At 49.4% G+C, this 14,935-nt stretch overlaps 1 protein-coding gene across 17 annotated transcripts in view; it reads right to left on the bottom strand.

Annotated features, from left to right (window-relative positions):
• The window catches only part of UBE3B (ubiquitin protein ligase E3B), a 70,196-nt gene that overhangs the window by 18,522 nt on the left and 36,739 nt on the right, over positions 1–14,935 (bottom strand). For all 17 annotated transcript variants that reach the window (XM_011538961.2, XM_047429852.1, XM_047429851.1 and 14 more), the window contains 6 exons: positions 12,424–12,543; positions 7,984–8,160; positions 7,757–7,867; positions 5,193–5,330; positions 4,805–4,870; positions 2,892–2,950 (listed from right to left, as the gene is read on the bottom strand). In XM_011538961.2, coding sequence (XP_011537263.1) covers positions 2,892–2,950; positions 4,805–4,870; positions 5,193–5,330; positions 7,757–7,867; positions 7,984–8,160; positions 12,424–12,543 — 671 coding nt within the window. The remainder of the gene's footprint in view (positions 1–2,891; positions 2,951–4,804; positions 4,871–5,192; positions 5,331–7,756; positions 7,868–7,983; positions 8,161–12,423; positions 12,544–14,935) is intronic.

Raw genomic sequence — 14,935 nt, 5'->3', positions numbered from 1 at the left:
GCAGAGGGTCTCTGGGTCTGCTGTGATGAACACAGTGCCCTCAACTACAACTGCATAAAGCATATAATCCTCTCAACAGGTTACATACATTCCAACAGGCTTGCTAGCATCGCTAATTTCTTTTTTCTTTTTATTTATTTATGTTTTGAGACAGAGTCTCACTCCGTCACCCAGGCTGGAGTGCAGTGGTGCGATCTCAGCTCACTGCGACCTCTGACTCCCGGGTTCAAGCGATTCTCCTGCCTCAGCCTCCCAAGTAGCTGGGACTACAGGCATGCACCACCACACCCAGTTAATTTTTTTGTATTTCTAGTAGAGATGGGGTTCACCATGTTGGACCAGTCTGGTCTCAAACTCCTGACCTCGGGTGATCTGCCCGTCTCGGCCTCCCAAAGTGCTGGGATTACAGATGTGAGCCACCACGCCTGGCCTTTTCTTTTTCTTTTCTTTTTTTTTTTGAGATGGAGTTTCATTCTTGTCGCCCATGCTGGAGTGCAATGGCGCGATTCGGCTCACTGCAACCTCTGCCTCCTGGGTTCAAGTGATTTTCCTGCCTCAGTCTCCTGAGCTGACATTACAGCGCCTGCCACCATGTCCAGCTAATTTTTGTATTTTTAGTAGAGACGGAGTTTCACCATGTTGACTAGGCTGGTCTTCAACTCCTGATCTCAGGTGATCCACCTGCCTTGGCCTCCCAAAGTGCTGGGATTACAGGTGTGAGCCAACGCACCCAGCCTTGCATCACTGATTTCTTAGCAAAGAACTTGAGCCCGGCCCACGTATGACTCTCACCAATTCCAAATCAGTAGAGTCCAAATAAATGTTTTACAATGCTAAAGCTTTAGTAATCTCAAAAATATCCCTATTTAAAAAAATTTTCCAGCAGCAAACCTGTATATTAATACATACAAATACGATTTTCCTATCATTGCTCCTCCTTCCAGGTATACTTTGAAGCAGGTGACGAGTACTGCTCCACTTTACTGAGAAAGGGGGAGAGGAAGGGAGGAGGTGAGAGGGAGGGAAGGAGAGAGGGAGATACGAGAGAAGAGAGTATGGGAAACATCCAACACTCATAAAGTGCAAGATCAAGTATCACCCCTAAAGAGGGAGAAACTGGCACTGCTAGGCCTTTTGAGTTAGTATGCAGAACTGAGTATCCTTACCCTGACCTGAGGCTTTATGCTATAAATGCTAAGAATCTGTGAAACAAGTTTCCACATAGGAGGTTTCCCAGCAGGACAGGACTCTCCCTCCAGCACAGCCTGCTCCCACCTACCTCCTCTGGGCGCTCTACTTAGCAGCCAGTGCCTATGTGGGGAGAGTGAGTGACTACCTACTGTCACCCCCAAGCTGCAACACCTGGCAATGCGTGTCCTCTCAGGGGGTGGCAGGATCCATGTGACACGTCACCCATCTGAGGATGGTAAACATCACTGCTGTCATTTAAGCCCTCCTCTGAGCCTGACACCCAGGAAGGTATTTTATACACATTGCCCTACAAGCACCCCCCTAAAGGAATGGCTACAGGTTACATGGCAGGCAGGGGCAGGACTCACCATGCTCTCTCTCTGGCCCTGGCTGGGCCCTCTCTACTCTTGCAGGCAGTCCCTCCCAATCTGCACTTTGTTCCTTCTAAGTTTTCAAACTAATGCCCTGTGGCCAAGGAGCAAGGCCGGTGTATTTCAATCATTATGAAAACAGGGTCTGTTCTCCTGACGTTTCTGACAGTCTAAATAAAAAAGTCCCAAGCTTGCAGACTGACTGAACCACCTGATCCGAGAGGAACATGATGCTTGGGAACACTGGACTGCGACGTGCATCTGATTCAAATGACTCACCAGGTGGGACTGAGCCCTCACTTGTCACTAAAGAGACTGATGCTCCAATTAACAGTTCAAATGCTCAACTGAGCCTGGCGGCGGGAGATTGATAAACTGACAAGGGGGCCAATGTCTGCTTCTCATGCCAGGCTCCACTGTTTTAATTAGGTGACAATAGGGCCGAGTGGAGACCATGCACTGAGAGGTTTTGCTTCTAGGGACCAAAAAGGATGACATTTATGATAGATTCTGCAGAGCCCTTTATCTGTGACAATAGTTGCTGGGCCTCAGAGTCTCTCCAATTCCCATGTCTAAGGACCTCCGTCTGTGGCATTTGAATTCATCACGGTGTCTTCTCAAGAACACTGTTTTATACAACTGCCACGTGCTATCATCCAAAATGATCTGCCCCTCCCCGCCAAGGTGTCTTTCCACCTCTGTGCCCTCTGGGTTCAGGACAGTGTGCTGAATGGCTCAGAATCCATCTGTCAGCATCTAGGGCCGTTATTAAACTCCTAAGAACACCGTGGCCTGGGTGCCTCTGACCTTAGAAGTGCTACTGCAAAAAATAAATGGTCAATTCTTATTTTGCAAATCAATTTTTTTTTTTTTTTGAGACGGAGTCTCACTCTGTCGCCCAGGCTGGAGTGCGCTGGTGCGATCTTGGCTCACTGCAACCTCCACCTCCCAGGTTCAAGCGATTCTCCTGCCTCAGCCTCCTGAGTAGCTGGGATTACAGGCATGAGCCACCACGCCCAGCTAATTTTTGTATTTTCAGTAGAGACGGGGTTTCACCATGTTGATCAGGCTGGTCTCGAACTCCTGACCTCGTGATCCGCCCGCCTCGGCCTAACAAAGTGCTGGGATTATAGGCATGAGCCACTGTGCCCGGCCGCAAATTGAATTTAATACAATTCTGGCCTATGAACTGTAACCAGTAAATTCCATTATGATATTTATGGCCTCTTTCTACTTCAATCTATCTTAATAAATTCTCAACATAAGCGCAGAGAGCCAGAATGAAGTCTTTTCAAGTGGTGACCTTAAAAACCTAATTGCTATACTCACTTATTTTCATTTGTAACAGGAATGGTCTTCCCTCCAGGAATCAGTTCATGGCAAACAAGCTGGGGGAGAAGATGGGAGTAATTAATAGGGAGGACTCTAATGGGGAAATAAAGCTTCCCGGAGATGAGAGGGCCCAGCACAAACATCCATGATAATGATGGAATTAAGATGGCACATGCTTGGGAACCATCCTTTCTCATAAAAAGTCAAGGCTGAAATATCAACAAGCAGACCCTGCATGATCAATACAAAAGGTTTTTTTCTCACCCAATCCTTGTTCAAACATTTGTATTAAGACTTCGGGATGTCATGGAGGGGAATGTGTTGGCATTTCGGAGTAGAGTAGGACGGTTAAATAAACACTGGTACATCCATACCCTGGAATACTGTGCAGGTACTAAACAATATGATGAAAATGTGCGTTTACTAAAAAGGTGAAAAAAGGCCACTGATGTAACAACATGCACAGAATGGCATCATTTCTGGAAAGGGAGACTCGGGAAAGAGTCTCAAGGGACGCAGGTAACACACTATCACGGGCACCCTGTGGGCACTGGCATTACGGGCAGCTTGCGTTTTCATCTTTTGCTCATATTAGAGCTAATTTTTTTTGTTAGAAGTTTCATTATCTTTTCATCTTTTGCTCATATTAGAGCTAATTTTTTTTTGTTAGAAGTTTCATTATCTTTATAGTCGGGAGAAAAATTATGTCAGGATAAAGCCTCAACATCTGATTATAGATTTATTTTAAACTCTGTAAAATCAACTGCTTCTTTCAACTTCAAGAACACTTCCGTGGATCACCTAAAAATCAAAGGACATATCATTTGAAGCCAATTTTAATAGAAATTCTGTGAAGATTCTATAACCCTACAGCTCTAGAAAGGAACACACTGATCCCAGTCCCACTGCTGTCAGCATCTCAGGTGGCACCAGTGGGTTTTAAAGCTGAAAGGGCCCTTAAGAATCAGCCAGCCTGAGGTTTCCCCTGATTCCAGGAACACCCTGCCCGTGAGCTATTCTGTAGAGAACGATCCTGCGAGACAGCATTCTTTCCTTCCTTCAAAGAAGAGTTCTGTGTCCCAGGATGTAGGGAAGCTTGAGATTAACTCAGCTCCACTTTGGTTTCCTCCTTACAGGCTTCTCAGAGCCTTCACGTGCCAGCCTGCCCAGGGGCCTTTCAGGAGGACAGGCCACGCAGGGCTCCCAGCGGTGCTTACAGACTGGGCCCATCCAGGACTCGCATCTGGCAAATGGATATGGAAAGTGTGGCTCAGGGAGACTGGGGGTTCTGAGGTGCCCAAGCGCGAGTCTAATAAGTCGGCTCTGCATTAAGAAGCTCATGGCGTGGTTTCTCCTGAGCGGCCCTTGGACCTGCACTCCCAGAGCCTCATGCAGGGACCTCCACCAGGACACAATCAAAGGGCGCGGAGGCTGCTACAGAGAAAAGCCAGAAGGAACCGTGGGAGGAGACGTGCTGCGGCCCTGAGACCAGGGTCTCTGCTCCCTGCTCTGCTCTGTATGCTGAGAATGAACAAGGACAGGCTTCTGCTTGAGCTTGAGGCGCTTCTCAGGTGGCATCTTCCCCTTCTCTAAGACATAATCCTCCATTTGTAACGGCTAATCCTCACCATGGTAACGAAAAGCCATGTTACAAATGGGGAATTACCCTAAAATGCGATATAAGAAAGCAGGGTCTCTGCGGGAAGCTTCAAAGGCCAGGTCAACTGGGAAGGAAAGGAGGGGGCCCTCCCTCCTGGCAAGAGGGGAGGAGGATGGGCGAGGGGTGGGGAGGACAAGGGACCAGACAGAGCCTCAGCTTGGGGCTCTTTCTGAGGAAAACAAATAACACGGCAGGTCTCAGGAGCCCATGGGGGCAGTGGAAAGGGAGCTCAGCCAAAGGGCGGACCTACCTGACCCATGACGTCCTCGTCGTAAGACAGCGTCAGGCCCAGGTCAGTGATGTCCCCATCATAGCGCTAATGTAACAGAGAAGGGGAAAGTGTTAGGGCCATGGAGCACTATGTGCTTAAGAGGTTTAACCCTCCCTTGAGGCGCTGCTTTGGTGCTGGGAACACCCATGGCTGCTGAACAGCTTGACGCAAAGAAAGTCATTCGTGACTTTGAGGAAGGAGGTTGTGAGGATCAGCCCCAAGTGGGACTGCCCACAGGGGGATGTGAGGGGCCTGTAGCAGCTACAGCAACAGCAATAAGAGAGGACAGGCCATCTCCTTCTGGGACTTCGCAAGCTGTGAGTTCACACCAGTGCTCGGCTTAGCTCACCCACCATTCCATGCTCACCTTGATGGAGGTGAGGTTTTTATAGAACTCGGAGTCCAGAGAAGGCAGTTCATCCACCGAGCTATAGAAGACGCTGTGGTGGTGCCCAAGCAGTTGGCTCAGGAAGAAGGATGCAAATGGCACGTCCACCACAATTCCCTGGGAGAGCAGAGAAGCAGAGCTGTCCATCAGCCAGGATTCTGATGCAGTGTTTGGATTGGGGTGGCTCAGGGTGCAGACATGGCCCAGGGGTGCCATCGGCATTTCCAGGCCCCTCCTAAGTTTCCAATCCGGAGGGCAGTATCTCCCCATCCTCTACCAAATACAACTGAGTGCCTCCTGGGGACAGCGCAGTGGTCAGGACACATGGTTTGGAGCTACAGTGCTCAGGGATTAAATCCTAGCTGGGCTGCTGCCAAGCCAGGGGCCCTCAGCTGTCTCACCTGTCAGTGGGGGGCAGCACCAGCCTCTCAGTTAAGAGGATGGAACGTGCACAGTACCAGCACCCCCAAGCTCTCAGGGCAGCCATGGCATTGGCAGGGGCCAGAGGAGCACAGAGGATAAGCTCTCCCCCAAAGGCAGAGTTGGGGAGCTTCCGGGAGGAAAAGCCAGCTAAGTGAGGCCTAAAGGAGCCAGCCAGGCACTGGTACGAGGCCCCAGGCATACTCCAGGGATGGAGGGCACGGAAGCAATGGAAGCTATGTCCAATGAGGATGCAGGGCCAGGTCAGGGAGGGCCCGTAAGCCTTGCTGCAGGCTGGATTCTGTCCAGAGGGCTCTGAGCAGGGAAGGGACAGAGCTGCACTTTTATGTGGGGAATGGGCTGGCGAGAGGAAGACAGGAGGCAGACACAGCCAGACGGCTGTGGCATGCTGCCAGGGGAAAACGCCGACAGACTGTGCCAGGGTAGCGGCAGGAGGGTGGAGAGAGACATGTGGACTGGAGAGGCTGAGAGGGGACAGTCACTCGGACTTGATGACACCTGTCAGAGGACCGTAAGGGGTAAATGAGTTAATCCATGCCACTCCTCATGCAGGGCCTAGCAGGTCCCATCTTCTCTCGTCAGCACAATTACTGTCAGAGGTGAGGGAGGGAAAGGACACAGAGGCGAGGCCTGGGAAATGGCATGACATTCAGAGAAGCCAGGAGGCCATGCTTTCCAGGTGGCCCAGGCTCTTCTGAGTGTCATCACAGCAACGTGTTTAAAGGAAAACATATGCCATGTGCTCGGGTGGGTCCTAATGGGATTTTTAACTTTTTCAATGGAAATCAACTGAGAAATTGTTTCTATTATGCAGATGAGGAAACAGAGGCACAGAGAATGGGCCCAGGACCCAAATCACTGGAGGGCACAAGGAAGACTGGATGGTGTTTGGGCAGGGGCTCAGATGGGCCACCTGATTCCATCATGGCCAGGGACTGAGGCCGGTGCACATAGACTGTTTCCAGACAGAGAGAACAATGGATTATTCGAGAGTGAAAGGAGTTTGGCCCTGAGACCTCCCTCTCAGCTTGGCCCAGCTGCTGGCTCTTTCTGTTTGGAAAGCATCTGGCTTCTCCAGGTTCCTGGGGTATGCGAGGAGTGCTGCCCAGGTGGCTCGCTTCCTCCGTGCTTGGGCCAGAAGCTCAGCAGAGCCTGAGACCCAGGCAGGGTCCCTGCAGCTCTGGAGCCCACTGCGAAGGCCACACAGACTGGCTGGGCTTGTGCTGCAGCTTTCCTTCCTCCTGGGAAACAGGACTCTCCCAAGGAACAGGCGGTGACTTCCCACTGAAGGTGGTCCCACCTTGGCTTTCAATGGACGGGGTTTCAATGGACAGGAGCTGTGTGGGCCACATCACCCTGACCCCATCAGGCCACAGAGTGGAAACCCAGACTCACTTCCTCTTAGTAAGGTGAGGATGACTGCTCCGATCCACCTGGTGTGAGCAGCTGGCTGGGCACCGTAGAAGGCCCTCCTCACTTACCATTAACGGCAACCCAGGAATGTGGCTTTTCTTATCTCCACTTTACTGATGCGAGAACACGGCTTAAAAACTAAAGAAACTTGAAGGCACATGGTCACACGGCTGACTAGGAACAGCTGGTCCTGTCCTGTTGCCATGGCTGGGAAGCACTCACTCAAACAACACAAGATTTTAAAACTATCAAACTCCACAAAATGCTGCCCTCCTACAACGGGGACCCAGCCTCCGTGTGGCCATCTGGCTCTGCACACCACTCCTCATGCCTCAGGAAAGAAGAGGGCTGGCCTTAGGACTTGGGCCGGCCTGGGTTCAAATTCCACCTCTACCACTTAACTAGCAACGAAACTCTGGACAGGTGACTCCTCAAAGCTTCAGGTCTCCCATCCTTAAATAGCCAGGACAGTGGCAGCCCCGTCACAGGGCTGTCGATGGGATGAGATGAGATGCCACAGGCAAAGTACCTAGCACTGGTGTACAACAAACCTTGGTTCCTGCCCCTGTCCTCGCTTGTATCCTAGTGACAGTTTACATGGCCAAGCCTGATCACATATGTGTATGTGAAGAAGCCCATGGTACCGTTAACATTTTATTTTACATTTCTCTGTTTCTTAACGTTCCTACCTCATACACAGCCTTCCCCAGCATCTTCCCCACAAACTCGAAGAGCTGCAGGTAATTCTCATGGATGTAGGATGTGGGTGAGGGGTACAGCCTCTCATCCCCACTGGTTGTCTGCAAGGCAAAAAGACGGGGAGAGGCAGAGGTCAAGTGCCTTGCAAGGAGCAAGCCCAGCTCTTCACTTCTTGAATCTGGCTGCTGTCAGCCCTGCTGTTGCTCCCCTTAAATACCTTGAACAGATTGAGTGCTGGGTCAAAAACTCTCTTGATGATCTCTTCCAAGAACTCCTTAAAAACACCGTCTTGATCAATCCCTGCTTCGTCCACCCCGAGGTCATTGACAAACTTCACACGGATGACCCCCTTCATGGCGTGCTGGGAGAGCTGCCTAAGCTGCTCGTAGCCGTCCTGCCAAGAGCAGAATTACAGCCCATTAGGAAGCCCAAAGCCTTATGCACACAATTCGGGGTTCCCTCTCCTCTGTGCGAAGCTCTCCCAGCATCATTACCAAATGTGCAAATTATGAAACGTGGATGCATGACAGGAGCCGTTCTCACCTGCTTTTGAATGAGTGCTGATTAAAAGCAAAGATTCATTTGGGGATGTGACAGTATCACTCCTTGGCAAGGGGAGACTGACCTCAAGGGGACAGAGCAGTGAGATGGGGAAGTTAGACAAAATGAGTCATGACAAGCTCCTGGCCATCAGACAAAGGATGAAAGAAACCGGGACAAGATACATTTCTCTCTCTCTCAATGCTAAGAGTATCTTTAGCTCATGGTAAAAAAAAGAAAAAAGAAAAAAAAAAAAAATCAAACCTACAGAACACTGTAAAATGAAAAGAATTACCCATCACCCCTCATCTCCCGCTGCCTTCCCAATCATGAAGTGCCTGCAAGTCATGCTGAGGAATTTAGGGGACATCCTGAAGGTAATGGGAGCTGCAGAAGGTTTTAGGCAAAGAGTAACAGGGCTGACTTTCTGTCAGATCTTTCTATTGGCAGCAGAGCAGGTGGATGGCAGGGATCAACGCAGGGAGCAGAGACCGAGATGTGGGGGTGGTGCTGGGCCTGGACTTCTGGCTGGTGGTCAGCTCTGTTAGGACACAGCCATTCAGCACATCTACTCCATCCAGACCTCAACATGCACAGCCCCAGAACCACAACTTTGGAGTTCTCCTACTAAATCATCTGTTTAGTTTGTCTCTTGATTCTAATCTGTTGAGGCCTTCCTGGCTTCTGGTTCCATCATCTAATGCATTCCTAGTACTTGGGGTGCTGAGGTTTTTATTTCAGAGCAGTGACTATAAAAACAGTGCTGAACAGCACAGGGCCCAGGGAAGAGTCTGTTGGCCCGACTTGAGAGGCCCAATCACCAGGTGAAACTGATGTCTTCAGACACTGTGATGGAACAAGTGACCAATCAACCCTGCTGTCCTATGAAGGCCATGCCACATTTCTCCCTTTCAGCTACAACTGTAACACTGTCACATGCTTCGCAGGTTAGACAGGCTGTCTCCACAGCATCCACTCGGCTGCCGTCTGGTCCCCTCATCACAAAGCAAACGAGCAGTATGCCAGTGTGGCGAGACCTGTTTTGGGGAACCCTTGCTGCCTTCCTGCCATGTTCACCCAGTGATCCCCAAAGGACTATCCTATGGTGCCCCGATTCAGGGGTTAGGCTTCAAAGTTAGTGGGCAAGGGAAAATTACCTCTCAAGACCCCTAAGTCACATGTGGGAACAGGAGCACAGTTTTGTGGAGGCAAACCTGAGAAGGACTTTTTATGTACATAAAGTTTGAGAATCATTAAGTTAGATGACAAAAGGGAGAAACAGGAAGTCAACAGGCAGCTGTAACAGCATTTAAACCATTCTGCCTAAATTTAAGATAATTATCTTGGCACTGAGATGAGAACGGATGGAGAATTCCATCAAGTTCCTGTCTGCCTGCAGGAGTTCCTCCAACCTGCTTTAAAATTATGCCTCCCCAGCCTTCACACGCATTAGTAGATGCGTTTGTGGTTATGTGGATGAAATGGGATGGTACATGTGAAAGCAAGTGGCACATGGCCTAGCTCAAGGAGCGTTTACTGGATTCAAATCTCAGTCTTGCTTGATCAGCTCCACACCAGCCTCTTTGTTTAAACGTTTAGAGGGGACTGCCTCTTGTGATACATTTCCTGCCTTCTGGGAACTGGCGTGGATATGCGAGGATTATATCCATGCCTCTTGGGAGGTGAATGTGAGTCAGCGTTCCTCTTCTTCACTGCATCTCAACATGCACACACAGGGAATACTGAGCTAGAAAAGGGATGCCTGGCTTCCAGGCCCAGCTCTATCACTGATATCCAAGTGACCTTGACTGAAGTTCTCTGGCCTCAGTTCTGCCTTTGACAGAGACAGGGGAAAGGACTGGGTAAGAGTATGTTTGAGGATCCTTCCGGTTCTGAATACTAGAGTTCCAGCCCAAACTCACCCTCTGGGAAGAAGAGCCTTCCTACAGGACTTTAATATCTGGAAGCCTAATAGAGAAGCATAGCCCTCAATACTAACCATAAAAAAGGAAACAATGCCCAGGAGAGCATGAGTCTGAGATCAGCTTACTGACGCCCCCTTGTGTCCAAATCCAGCAAAGGCCCCTGGGCTCTCATATTCTAATAACCAAGCCACCAGATTACGACAACTGGGATAACAATGAACAACCCTCTCCCCTTCTCCAGTGGAAAGTAAAGAGGAAAAGGGACTTTGCCTAAAGCCTAAGACAGACATCTCTTTTGCCATCCCTGAGGGATATGCTTTAAAAAGTAGGGCCAGAGTAACTGGGATGTCAAGTGAATTTCCAATAAGCAATGATATTTGTGAAGGGAGTCGGATTCTGCCACTCTCAGGAGATACTGCAATCTATACCACCCCAGACTCTTCCCATGGGTGGGTGCTGGCCACGTCTGGGTAGGCGTGATGGGTAGTGGGGCTGAGGATTTCTAGAGACAAGGGAGATGCATCTGGGTCTGCAGAGGGAAGTGCTAGAAAGGGAGTCCCTACCACACAATTGGGCTTTTTCTGAATCAAAAGCAGAGGTTGCAAATGGGTGGCCCACAGGTTGAATTTGGTGGAAAGACAGGTGTTATCTGACTTTCTAGGCACTTTACAGAGTTCAATTAGTTCACAACATGGAAGATCTGAATTTTGGCCTTCTCTTAAAAACTCAAGAGCGTTATGGAGCCCACCTCGTCACATGGCAGGTCTGGAGGAGCTGAGTGGCGGTGGCCTCTTCTGGGGAGGCACGTGCTTCCAACTGCTCCCCAACACTGAGGCTGGGTGTCAGTTGCCATTTATCAACTCACTCGTGGGGGCTATTTTTCTCAAGTAGAGCTACACAGACCAAGAGGGCTGTTTCAAGAACAGGAGGGCGCAGAAGTGGAGATTATTTCTATATGTCTAGCACGCAAACAGAATGCTCCTGTAATGAGACCCACTCAGCCAGCTTTACTCCTTCACATGGCCTGCAGGGCCCAGTGGGCCCTTCAATTCCTTATGCCTACCTTGAAGAATGTCAGAAACATCCACTGTTCAGCACACACTGCCTTCCTAGCAGCTCTCGGCATTGATCACCAGTGGCCAGGGGCACTCAAACAAGCTCTCCAGTAAGGAGTGACACAAACAAGGTACGATGCACCGAGGGAGAAAATGAAGACACGTGAGGAGGAACAGCTGCTGCCAGAAGCCATCTGCTGGTGGGGGTGGCTATCTGGCCACATACTTCAGGGGATCCCGTGACTGTCCTACACTACAGGACAGGCTCATGGGGAACTGCAGCTGGAGTGTGATAAAAAGGTCTGAAGTGCAAACATGGCAAATAAATGAAGCCAAGCCTCTCCAGGGAATGGGGACTGTGGCTCAGTCACCAATTCTATCGCTGGCAGGATGAGCATGTATGGGTAGGCTGTGCACTATACAAGCCCAGGGGAGGCTGTGGCATGGATAACACAGACATCGTAGGTAGTTAAGTTTATGACAACCATGTTCCAGCAGATTGGAGGCACGGTCTTGTACCAACAAAACCAATGTATTGTGACAATTTTCTGACATATGAGGACTGGGTACCTATCTCTAATTTACATGGAGTCACCGTATAGTGGTAGTTCCAGACAACGGATTTAGCTCAGGTGGGTCACTTCAGTGGTATCTTGTAAGTTTCTGTCTACAAAGAACTTCTGGCTCTGTGATAAAAGTATTTCTCTACATAACTCAGTAAATGTAACACCTCCACTCCACTTATATACTACAATCACAGTTGAGAGTCTCAGCAAAGTGCCTGCTGGGACAAATGGAGTTTGCACAGACCTGAGAGTGTTAGTGCAGCCGCTGTGACTGGCAGCTCCTGTCCTCATTTCAAAGGGACATGAAGAGGTGGATGCTCTAGCCCAGGATACTCTAGCTCTCATGGGGTAAAGGAAGACACTGCTGGGTCTCCAGCAATGAGAACATGTTTAACCAAGCAGCTGTTCAGAGCAGTCAACAGGACAAATGACCCCTTTCCTGCTCCCAGAGCCTTAATTTCAGATCAAGGAGTAACAGGAACAGTTCAAAAGCCAGAGACCGTCCACTAAAGAGCTTCCATGTTGCAGGGCCCACTTCCTTGTGGTAGGATTCCATAGGCTTCACACTCACCTCCAGCATCCTGGACCGGCGGATGGTGATGTGAGTGACATGCGGGGAGGCAGAGCTGGTTTCCACCAGCCCCAGTTTCTCCTTCTCCTTGGTAACCATGGTTCGAAACAGTAGAACTCTCTAAAATGAACAAAGGCGGGATCAGAAAACAGGGTCAGCAAACTGACGATTCCATAAAAACACTCTGCAAAAATGACTGAAACTGAAGTTAGATGAGATGCAAGCAGAATGGGATGCCTTAACATGTGCTACCAGTTAGAAGTGTCCTGTGAGAACAGAAGCATTCCCTGGAACACTTGTGGGAATTAGAAATACTGTTGAATACACAAGCAAAAAACGTTCCGGAAAGAGTGGTCTGGCTGCAGCTAGGGTCCAGCTAGGAATGGCCCACGAGAAAATCCTCCTCAAGGCTGGGCGTGGGGGCTCACGCCTGTAATCCCAGCACTCTGGGAGGCCCAGGTGGGCGGATTACCTGAGGTCGGGAGTTCAAAACCAGCCTGGCCAACATGGTGAAACCTCGTCTCTACTAAATACAAAATACAAAAATTAGCTGGGTGTGGTGGCATGCACCTGTAATCCTAGCTACTTGGGAGGTTGAGGCAGGAGAATCACTTGAACCCAGGAGGCAGAGGTTACAGTGAGCCAAGATCGTGCCACTGCACTCCAGCCTGGGGGACAGAGTGAGACTCTGTCTCAAAAAAAAAAAAAAAAAAAAAAGAAAAAAAAGAAAAAAGAAAATCCTCCTCATTCAGTCAATAATCCACTATAAAAACTTGGTGGCAGAACAAGTTACAGAGCCTTCTTTATCTAGCTGTGCCTGCTTTAAGGGAAATCAATATTATGAATCCTAAGAACAAAAATAATTCAAAGATAACTTTTCCTACTGTCAGAAAATTTAAAAATGACCCTACAGTATAAAGCTCCCTGACCTTTCAACCTGCCTCCTCTGTGCCTTCAAGCCCACCACAGTCCCACCAGTAATATTTCTCAATTACTGCTTGAAAGGAACCCTCTCTCCTTATTCTTAAGATTCTGCTAAACCTATTTAGAAAGAGCATGACTCTTTGCCCCATCCTGGGCTCAAGAATCAGCACCCTAATACCATTTAAATCAAGTCAGCTGAATGAATACATAAATCTAACCACAGCTGTTTTTTTAAAAATGGGAATCTCCCCCAAAGTCAAGAACTTTATTAAATACAAATAAGAACAGTAACAGCTGGGCACAGTGGCTCACGCCTGTAATCCCAGCACTTTGAGAGGCCGAGGCAGGTGGATCACCTGAGGTCGGGAGTTCGAGACCAGCCTGACCAACAGGGAGAAACCCCAACTCTACTAAAAATATAGAATTAGCTGGGCGTGGTGGCACATGCCTGTAATCCCAGCTACTCGGGAGGCTGAGGCAGGAGAATCGCTTGAACTTGGGAGGCGCAGGTTGTGGTGAGCCAAGATCGTACCATCACACTCCAGCCTGGGCAACAAGAGTGAAACTCTGTCTCAAAACAACAACAACAACAACAAAAAAACAGTAATAATAGTAACAACAACAGGAAATACTATATACCAGTGGGTGCTAGTATATTTTCATTTAATTATTATGTTAACTCTATTAGGCAAATATGATTGTAACAAAAAAAGCAATGACCAACAGCCCCTTAAGAAGAAAGGGGATGGGCCAGTCGCGGTGGCTCACGCCTGTAATCCCAGCACTTTGGGAGGCCTAGGCGGGCGGATCATGAGGTCAGGAGATCGAGACCATCCTGGCTAACACGGTGAAACCCCGTCTCCACTAAAAATACAAAAAATTAGCTGGGCGTGGTGGCGAGCACCTGTAGTCCCAGCTACTCGGGAGGCTGAGGCAGGAGAATGGCGTGAACCCGGTAGGTGGAGCTTGCAGTGAGCTGAGATCGCGCCACTGCACTCCAGCCTGGGCGACAGAGCGAGACTCTGTCTTAATAAAAAAAAAAAAAGAAGAAGAAAGGGGATGGTACTGAGTGGAGGAACTACTGTTCAGTGAAGCATCTTGCTGAGGCTGGTTGACAGATCTAGACGTGACAGGACTGACGTGCTCTGAGTAGAACCAAAAGCCCTGAGAGGTTCCAGGGCCATGCAGAAGAGAGGGGACAGATTGGGGACACAGGGAGGGAGGCTGGTGATAGGAATGAAGGGTGCTCCTACCTCTCCCCTCCATGGCAGGGGAACTGTAGGACTTTTGAGAACAGGTGTTTGTCATGTGGAGTCGTGTAGTTTGTGACACAACTACTTCCTATGACCCCAAATCTTTGGCATGACCACCTGAAGGGGTGCTGTTTGGTGATACACAGGCGGAAGGCGAGTTACATCTGGGTCAATCCAGTATGGGGTGGAGATAGCAGAAGACACAGAAACAGAACTAAAGAGACAGAAGTGACCACAGAAAGCCTGGACAGGGCTCTGGATTTCTATGGGGCATGGAAGAAAGTCTGAGGCAAGCTTATCCAGGCTGCAAGGGCTGGGCAACCTCAGCGACTGCA

Source organism: Homo sapiens, chromosome 12 (assembly GCF_000001405.40).
Source record: "Homo sapiens chromosome 12, GRCh38.p14 Primary Assembly".
Classification (NCBI taxonomy): domain Eukaryota; kingdom Metazoa; phylum Chordata; class Mammalia; order Primates; family Hominidae; genus Homo; species Homo sapiens.
Note: the sequence above shows the minus strand (reverse complement) of the source record. Positions and strands in the feature narration are given on the sequence as shown.